The 10,729-nt window shown below is 37.7% G+C and overlaps 1 pseudogene; it reads right to left on the bottom strand.

Moving 5' to 3' along the window:
- Positions 1–5,272: 5,272 nt before the first annotated feature.
- On the bottom strand, positions 5,273–8,689 carry LOC102723432 (serine/threonine-protein kinase PAK 2-like; annotated as a pseudogene).
- Between the last annotated feature and the right edge of the window lie 2,040 nt (positions 8,690–10,729).

Below are 10,729 nucleotides of genomic sequence, written 5' to 3' on the forward strand. Positions count from 1 at the left end.
TCACTCTGGCTGGAGAACTTGTTCCCTACTTTCACAAGGTTGACTTCTTAATCCGATCAAATGAAAATGTCATGTTCACCAGAAAGGCCATTTCTGATCATCTAATTTATAGACTGAACACCCCTCACCCTGTCATTCTACTTTACAGCACCTTGTTCTGTTCACAATTTATAATTGTATTATCACTTGTTTACTTGATTAATGTCTGTCTCACTCATAGATCGTGAACTCCATGAAAGCAAGAATCAAATCTGTTTTGAAGCACTCCCAGCATTTAGGGAAATACCTGAAGTAGAAGGCATTCAGTAAATACTTGTGGAGTGAATGTATATATTCTTGCTCTATATGTGAAAACACCATTTATTCATACAGTTAAACTATGATGTCAGTATTATGTCAGATTATTATAATGTCATATTCATTAACAACGAGACCCATAGTAAAAACAAAAATGTATTTGACAAACTGTTCATTAGTAGGAAATTGAGTTTAGTATAGATGAAATTTTCAGGTAAGATATTCTTATCTTTTTGAAGATATGACAGCATATTTAAGCTTTGGGCAAGGCAGACTTTTTTTTTTTTTTTGAGACAGATTTTCACTCGTTGCCCAGGCTGGAGGGCAACGGTACGATCTCGGCTTTCCGCAACCTCCGCCTCCCGGGATCAAGCAATTCTTCTGACTCAGCCTCCCGAGTAGCTGGGATTACAGGCATGCGGCACCACGCCCGGCTAATTTTGTATTTTTAGTAGAGATGGGGTTTCTCCATGTTGGTCAGGCTGGTCTCAGACTCCCAATCTCAGGTGATCTGCCCGCCTTGGACTTCCAAAGTACTGGGATGACAGGCGTGAGCCACTGCGCCCGGCCTGGGCTATTTTTGTTTCCCACAGATGTTTACACCAGAATGGCTGTTGCCCGGTTTGATTGCGCCAGTGTCTGACAGCTGTGTGGTGCCTGTATCATAACAGTTGTTAAATAATTTGAATATATAATGTTTAAATATGTAGCTTGTCTTTGATCTTTTGACAACAGAGATAGCTTCATTTACCTAAAGGGGTACTGATTTTAAAAATTAATTCATTTGAATTTAAACACAGCATATGCTAGACAAAACTCTTAGGGAAAGAATATGTATATACGTGCATGTAAACCACACAGACTGAAAGAGAAGCATTCAGTACATAAATTATTAGGCTCAAGTAGGAGGTTACTATAGAGTTAGCTGCTACTTATTTTCAGAATTTGATTTTATATTTTGAATTGGAAGAATGCCGATCTGGGAGTCAAAAACTCTTAATTTTGAGCCATGGGTGCATAACCTTGGGTATTTTAATATTGGGCTTAGTTTACTGGTTTGCAAAAGAGATGAGTGGACAAGATATCTTTAAAGTCTATTCTAGGCATGAATTTTCATGATTCTGCAGTATATGTTCCTTTTAACAAGTGAGACATTACCAGGATAAATATAGGAAAAACTAGTAGTATCCCCTTACCCCCTCACCCTCCTGAGTAACCAATTTAATATGCACAGAACATCCTTCTATCATCCTTTTTGGTACACACAAACATATATAAACAAAAATAAATGTATGTAAGCTTTCTTGCCTGAAAAAAGTAAAATAAAATATACATTATTCAGATGTGTTTCCCTGCTAATAGACATCTGAATGTCTTCAGTTTTTATTTTTGTCACTATAAATAATATTTCAGTAAACACCATTGTAGAAGTATCACTATATGCTGATGCTTTTGTTTTTTTTCTGTCAGATACATTTTTGAAAATAGGATTTTTGGGTCAAAGGTATATGCAGTTTTCATTTTAATAGATAATTGCTAATTTATTTCTAAAATATTTGTGGTGATTTAGAATGGTAACAGTGCCAATTGCCAGCACTGAGTTAATATTTTGTTTTCTATTGCTGCTCACCTGAAGGCTAAAAATGATGCCATTTTAGTTTAATTTGAATTATCTAGATTTTGTTGGAACAAGAAAAAAGAATTCTACTTGCATCTCTTCAAATGATGGGTCTGCATACCGTCTACTATGAATTGGCAATTCGTAGCCTTTGCATATGTCCATTTTAATATGATCAACTTTTAGATATTATATATACTGTAAATATTTTTTCCAGTCTTTAGTTTGTCTTTCTGCTATGGTTTACATAGCGAGATATACTTGTTTTTTATAAAATAGGTGGTTTGTTTTCTGTCGTTCTTAAGTGAGAAGATCTTCACCAAGGGCTTCCTTCTGGAATTTTTATAGGTTTATTTAAAAATATTGGCCGGGCGCAGTAGCTCACGCCTGTAATCCCAACACTTTGGGAGGCCGAGGCGGGCGAATCACGAGGTCAGGAGATTGAGACCGTCCTGGCTAACACGGTGAAAACCCATCTCTACTAAAAATACAAAAAATTAGCCAGGCGTGGTGGCGGGCGCCTGTAGTCCTAGCTTCTCGAGAGGCTGAGGCAGGAGAATGGCGTGAACCCCAGAGATGGAGGTTGCAGTGAGCCGAGATCGTGCCACTGCACTCCAGCCTGGGCAAGAGTGAGACTCTGTCTCAAAAAACAAAACAAAACAAAAATATTTAATTCACCTGAACTTTAAAAAATATATAAATAGTCTAAATTTGTATTTTTACATGGGGTTTTTAATGGAGATGTACTGAATTAAAAGCTCATTTTGTCATATATAAGGCTCTTATGTGTACTTGGATGTAATTCTAGATTCCGTGCTCTATTCTCTAGATTTGCTTATTCATGTGCCAGTGCTATACTATTCTATTTTTTTTAAAGGTTTAAAACATTTATCACTAAAGATACTAGAATGTTCTTTGAAAACCTATTAAGACATTTAACTATTCTTTTATGCTATTCTGATCAAAAGAAAGAATAAAAGTTTAGGAAAGGGAAAAATGCACATTTCTTAAAAAAGTTTATTTCTAGCCCTGAAAGAACAAAATTATTGAACAAAGTCATAAAATACAGCAGTTAATGTCAATGTATAACAATTAAATAATTGAATGGGATTAAATTAAAAATAAAAGACATTATAAAATTTGAAGACAACAGAAAAGACAAACTATAATTTTACTTAATTCCATTTCTATCACAACAAGAAAAAAAAGCCAATGCGTTCCAACCAAAGATGCTGAATTCCAAACATAATTGTTTCTCTTAATAAAGAATAGAAGTGTGCTTGACAGAATTATCATCCATTTCTTTCTGCCTCTGTCTTGGCAGCATTCTAGAGAAGTGAATGGGAAAGACTTCCGTTCTTTCAAGGCCAGGCCAGTGTTTGCTTCTTCTTTCTAACTCCAACCTCGTCTACCACAGCATCTTTGCCAGAGTGTTCAATCAGTGTGTTGACTGAGAAAAAAGAATGTGTGTATATATTTTTTCTTATATACACACACTATCAAAAAACTGATTTCACCAGTTTCAATACCTACTGTGGGAGCAGCAGAGACAGGAAGACAATCTGCTTCTTGTATTACTATGAAGTTCCACTATAAAAAACCCCAAATGAGTATTAATCTGGATTTTAGCTATAATCTATAATATTTTGACACTGACATTTCACTAGATGTGGATCTCAGTATATTTAAAAAGATTTAGACTCAAAAATGGATGCAAATTCTTTAAGCATCTATTTTGTTTTTTTCTAATTTTAGCTACTACCTGATCAGATCTAAAATTATTCTGGCTAGAATACAGTATATACAAACGTATTTAAGTGAGCCCTATAAAGAAATACTCATAGGTAGTTTAAAATTTCTTGTTAAAGGCACAGGCTCATTTACAGTTGGTGGTTACTAGACTCTAAGCAGCTTAACATTTATATGTTAAAGGGAAGAGAATTAGTACTATGTGCCAGGCACTCGACACATGAAGACAGAGTTGTATTAGCCTCGGTGTCTTACGCTTCACAATTACTCATTTACTATTCTAGGTAGGATAAAATGTTCCATGTTTCATAGTTTCCCAGTTTTAACTGTCCCTAAAAGCAGCAGAAGAAAAAAGAAAAAGTCTAAAATATAATAAATAAGTACTATAGTAACACTGTCCTAATAACACAAGAGGACTATTAAAGTAACTTTTAGATTTAAATGGGAATTTTCATTCTAAAGTGATGACAAAAAGGGTAAATATAAAAGGCAATTATTTAAAAAACATGAGGCCAGGTGTAGTGGCTCGTGCCTGTAATTGTAGCACTTTGGGAGGCCAAGGTGGGCAGATTGCCTGAGCTCAGGAGTTGGAGACAAGCCTGGGCAACATGGTGAGACTCTGTCTCTACTAAAAATACAAAAAATTAGCTGGGTGTGGTGGCACGCACCTGTGGTCTCAGCTACTCAGGAGGCTGAGGCATGAGAATTGCTTGAACCCAGGAAGCGGAGGTTGCAGTGAGCTGAGATCATGCCACTGCGCTCCAGCCTAAGTGACAGAGTGAGACTCTGTATCAAAAAAAAAAAAAAATAAAATAAAAAATAAAAAACATGAATCTTGATTCAGATATAATTTTTCTTTCAACAAGTTCTCAATGTTTTAATTTAAAATTAATAAATCACAATTCTGTATTGCTTTTAAGATTTTGTTTAAAAATGACACATCTCAAAATTAACCAAACTATATTTCTGCTAGAGGTTAGTTTATCCATGTAACTTAAGAATAAACCACAGTGTAGCTCCCTTAACCAAAGAGCCAGGTTTTAATGACTGAAGTCAGCTGCCAGCAATGGACATGCAGGTAACTATTGAAGAAGTTGTAGCTACAAATCCCAAACTGCTTCTATCAATGGAAAAGCCCTTTGTTGAGTCACAAGCCTGAAGTGAGGCCTTGGCACATAGTCAGTGAGAATGGTCTTTGACTTAGAAGGGAAGTGCCTCTGAGTGCATGAGGATCACAGTCTTCTCATCTCGTTGGTTTTCTATTTCATTGGTAGCATCTTCTTTATCATAATCCATCCATTTACAAAGAATGTTAAAATTTGGAACTCAGGTGGCACTGCAGCTTTCTGACAGAAATAAACCAGTTTCTGTAATTCAGTAATAGCTGTAGAAGGCCAATATATTCCAGAGAAAAATGAAATCAAGAATTATATTGAAAACAGAGACCATTAAGTGCTCTAAATATGTTTCATTAATTATTTTACTCATTTTTCTGAAAATCTTGCCTTATCAATAAAAAACAGTCACTTCTCTCCTTATAATTGTATCTTATCATAGATATAGTGGGAATAAAATAACGGAAATAAAACCCTGCTAGTTTCCCCAATGTATACTACAACAGCAAAATTATTTTTTATTCATGATTTATACTACTGCAGGATGGCAAGCAGGGGGGAAGTTAATGGGGGAAGGGGATGGTGGGAACAAAATGCCAGAACCAAACCAAATACTTGAACAACCTATTCCAAAGCAAAACAATGAATAAAGGAGAAGGAGAGGAGATGAAAGAAGAGAAGAGAAAGGGAGGGGAGGGGAGAAGGGAGGGCACTCAAATAATTAATGCTACAGGTCTCAGATCTTTCAGAATCTTTAAAAGAAACAAATTATTGCTCTCAACACGCACATTTCATTTTCCTTTCTTGTGTTTTTACATTAATAGTCTCTACCTATTTGAAAACAAAACAAAAGTAACTCAACATCTCAAATGATCTATAAATTCATCAAGAAATACTCTGTCGCTCAAGTTCTCATAGATAATACCACACTGATGATGACCTGGAGCAATGCCGCCGCCTCCAAGTCTCTACAGTTGATTTCCTATCGGCTGCTTCTCTGTAACACTAACATTCTCTTTCATGAGTATAATCTCTTCTCACTATATCAGAGATCACCAAGGTTCACGTCTCTCACTCTGCGCCTGCTAGTCCCAAATATTGTTCTCCTTTAAGTGGAAAAAAGCTAATTTTAAATTCCCGAAAATTCACTGGTTATTATATTATTTGCCATGGGAGGGGGGTATCTGTGAGGTGAAAGAGGATTAATGAAAAACAAAAAGAACAAAAATAAACCTAAAATTGCAACATATACAGAAATTTATTTCCAAATTGAAGGGGGAAAGGAGGGAAGAAGGTAGTGGCACTAACCAAAGTCACAAAGCCCAGGTTGGAACAAGAACAAATCACTTTGGTTCCTAGAGCCAAGCCTGAAGGGGAAACAGGCAGAAGGGAAGACGAAATGGGAAGAAATACACGGTCAATGGGAATCTTTTTCTATCTCAATGATTTAGTTATAAATAGAGATTATTAGTCTTCTCTCTATACATGTAACAAATGCCAAACTTACTACCACAAAATTTCTAAAACTGACTTTTTCACATTTATTAAAAAAGGTAAAAATCAAATACTTTTCTTCCCTTCCTTCAGGTCAAGTTCTGAACTAAAATATTACATGTAACAACAGCTGGTCCTAACTTTTATAAAAAGTGAAACTATATAGAGCTCCTTTGCCAACATAAGGAGCTACATAATTTCTATTACACTTACCTAGGCATGAGAAACTCAAAAGCAACTCAAAAGGAGCAAGTCCAGGAAAAGGAAAGCTATGAAGGAGAGAAAGACTAGCAGATGAAACAAATACTCTGAAAAACTCCAATCTGCCATTCAAGTATTGGAAATACCCCAAAGGGGACAATGAATGGGATCTATTACAACAAAGTCAGCAAAGTAAAATGCAAATCTCACATATGATAAATGGCCCTGATAGGCGGTTTGCTGAAAGACCTAAGGCTAGTGATTCAGTCCACAATTCCTTTTGGACCCTAAAGAAGGGGTTCATATAAAAGTCATACTTTTCTTTTTGCAATTTTCTCTTGGTTGTCTTCAGAGAATAGTCATTTGCTTCTTTCATTCAGGTTATGCAGACCATTTCTTTAAACCCCCAAAAGAGTAATAATTTTCATATACTAAAAGGCTTCTTGTAGAAAATGGAAAAAAGAATATGAGGCCACAGCAGTGATGTTAACGGTTACTCTTCATTGCTTCTTTAGCTGCCATGATCAGTGGTGTCAAGCTAGATAACAGTTTGGCTAGTTTCAGGAAAAGATGCTGTAATAATTCTTTGGCTGAACCCCTTTTTTCCACATCTGTTTCCAAACATCGATTTAAGAAATCCCGAAATATTGGGGAAAGTGTCTCTGGATTCTGAAGTTCTGGGATTCCATTAGTTGCTATTAGGCACAAGGCCCTCAAGGGATTTTCATTGAGGTATGGAGGCTCTCCTTCTACCATCTCAGTAGCCATGATACCCAGAGACCATACATTGACTTTAGGGCCATAAGCCTTCCGTGTAACCACTTCTGGTGCCATCCAGTATGGCGTTCTGACCACGGTACTGCGTTTGCTCTGCTCAGGGGTGATCTGGGCACAGAAACCAAAGTCAGTGAGCTTAACCGATCCTTCCATTCCCAAAAGTACACTGTCACTTTTGATGTCTCTGTGGATCACTTGATTAGCATGTAAAAACTCCAATGCCTGTAAACTCTCTCTGCATACAGCGGCAATCTGTGCTTCATCCATGCAGGTTTCTGTTACCACATCAGTGAGTGACCCCCTAGCAAGGTATTCCACGACCACAAACAATTCATCTCCTACCAGGTAACTGTCCAAGAAGTTAACTATGTTGGGATTTTTTAATTCTTTCATTACCAGAATCTCATTAATGATCAAGTCCTTCTTTGGCTGTTTCTGTAAATTAATTTGTTTGATAGCAACCTTCTGTCCCAGTGCAACGTCAGTAGCAGTGAAAACTGTACCAGAAGCCCCTTGTCCAATTTTTTCATATCTTGTATATTTTTTTCTTAGGGTCACCTATGCTCACAATAGTTCTTAGTTTCTCCATAATCTCTTCATCTGTCATCTTAGTCTTCTTTTTCTGTTTGTCTAAAGACTTGGCACCACCATCAACATTTGAATCACCAACTGGTGCAGGAACAGGGTCAATTACAGACCGTGTGTAAATTGATTTCATATGATCCGGTGGTGGGGCAATAACGGGAGGGGCAGTCTCTTCATCATCGTCCTCCTCCTCTGTCACTACTGCAGGTGCTTCTGTTCCCTCGGCATTCAGTGCTGGTGTTCCAGAAGGGAAGCCATCTTTCTCAGGAGGAGTAAAACTCAGATACTTCTGCTTCACTGTGTTGGAGTCGTAGACATCCAGCACAGCCTGAGGATTCTTCTTTTGCTCTAGTTTGGTGATATTTGAGGTCTGTAGTAATCGAGCCCAGTGTTCTGGCATGCCAGTGAATTCTCCAGTAACAGCATCAAAGCCAACATGGATGGTGTGTTCAAAATCAGATGGAGGAGAAATTTCTGGCCGTTCCTTTTCTTTCTTTTTACTTCCTTTCTCTGTGCCTGAGAATATGGAGATGATTTTATGCCTGGGCTTTTTCTCCTCTGGAACAGAAGGCAAAGGTTTCAAACTGTGATTGGCTGACAAAGGGTCTTTGCCTCCAGTGCTAAAGATGGTCCCGCTCATTCGCACGGGAGGTGCTGGAGGCTTGTCTTCCAGTTCTCCGTTATCACACATGATTCAGAATTATGAAATGGCCCCAGGTGAGGCAAGTTCCCCACCCCAGTGAGGCGCCTTGGTCAGAGCTCCTGGGAGGTTGCGGAGGCGCCTGGTACCAAAACAGAGATATAGACCAATGGAACAGAACAGAGCCCTCAGAAATAATACCACACATCTATAACCATCTGATCTTTGACAAACCTGACAAAAACAAGAAATGAGGAAAGGATTCCCGATTTAATAAATGGTGCTGGGAAAACTGGCTAGCCATATGTAGAAAGCTGAAACTGGACCCCTTCCTTACACCTTATACAAAAATTAATTCAAGATGGATTAAAGACTTACATGTTAGACCTAAAACCATAAAAACCCTAGAAGAAAACCTAGGCAATACCATTCAGGACATAGGCATGGGCAAGGGCTGCATGTCTAAAACACCAAAAGCAATGGCAACAAAAGCCAAAATTGACAAATGGGATCTAATTAAACTAAAGAGCTTCTGCACAGCAAAAGAAACTACCATCAGAGTGAACAGGCAACATACAGAATGAGAAAAATTTTTGCAATCTACTCATCTGACAAAGGGCTAATACCCAGAATCTATAATGAACTCAAACAAATTTACAAGAAAAAAACAACCCCATCAAAAAGTGGGTGAAGGACATGAACAGACACTTCTCAAAAGAAGACATTTATGCAGCCAAAAGACACATGAAAAAATGCTCATCATCACTGGCCATCAGAGAAATGCAAATCAAAACCGCAATGAGATACCATCTCACACCAGTTAGAATGGTGATCATTAAAAAGTCAGGAAACAACAAGTACTAGAGAGGATGTGGAGAAATAGGAACACTTTTACACTGTTGGTGGGACTGTAAACTAGTTCAACCATTGTGGAAGTCAGTGTGGCGATTCCTCAGGGATCTAGAACTAGAAATACCATTTGACCCAGCCATCCCATTGCTGGGTATGTACCCAAAGGATTATAAATCATGCTGCTATAAAGACACATGCACACGTATGTTTATTGCGGCACTATTCACAGTAGCAAAGACTTGGAACTAACCCAAATGTCCAACAATGATAAACTGGATTAAGAAAATGTGGCACATATACACCATGGAATACTATGCAGCCATAAAAAATGATGAGTTCATGTCCCTTGCAGGGACATGGATGAAGCTGGAAACCATCATTCTCAGCAAACTATCGAAAGGACAAAAAAACCAAACACCACATGTTCTCACTCATAGGTGGGAACTGAACAATGAGAACACATGGACCCAGGAAGGGGAACATCACACACTGGGGCCTGTTGTGGGGTGGGGGGAGGGGGGAGGGATAGCATTAGGAGATATGCCTAATGTTAAATGATGAGTTAATGGGTGGAGCACACCAACATGGCACATGTATACACATGTAACAAACCTGCACGTTGTGCACATGTACCCTAAAACTTAAAGTATAATAAAAAATAAAAACATACAACCAAACAAAAAAAAGAATGCTGGAAAAGCACAAATGTAACGTTTTATGTGGTGGGACAGCCCTTTCAAAAGTGTTTTCCACTGCTTATACTGATGAAGGTAGAAAAAAATTTCACTTATTTTAACTCTTCCTTTAAAAACTTCTTTTTGGTGGCTCATGTCATGCATACTCCACAAGTCCTGGAAGTTAAATGCTCTTAAATATTTGATGGTCTGGTCTTAGCAAAACGGCAGGTTTTTACTTTTACATTTTTAGCTATGTTTTAAATTATTTGTAATCCAGACACTGAAGTTTTATTTTGTTGTGAATTGAATCTGGGCAGAGTGTACAAGGGATCTCTCTGTATTATTTTTACAACTACATGTGAATCTATAATTATCTCATCAAAAATTCACTGAAAAAGGTATCACGGAGCCCATGTTTGCTGTTACCGTCTTTGCTCCTCCCAGGTTACAATGCCCCGTGCCTCTCAGTGCACAGTGAAAATGCAGCAGACGTTTTTGATGTGAGCTCCACGGAATGGATCCAGACTGTCCCCTTCAACAAGGTAATTTGACCTTAAGATTATGCAACTAATGAGTTAATGACTGAAACGCGGAAACAGAAATAATCCATTGTACATTTACTGTAATGGGTACTTGCTAGTTTGGAGGCTTAACAAAGAGTATAAAAAACAAAACCCTACAAAACATTATATTGATTAATTGCATTACTAGTACTAGAGCCATT

Source organism: Homo sapiens, assembly GCF_000001405.40.
Source record: "Homo sapiens chromosome 15 unlocalized genomic scaffold, GRCh38.p14 Primary Assembly HSCHR15_RANDOM_CTG1".
In the NCBI taxonomy this organism is placed as follows: domain Eukaryota; kingdom Metazoa; phylum Chordata; class Mammalia; order Primates; family Hominidae; genus Homo; species Homo sapiens.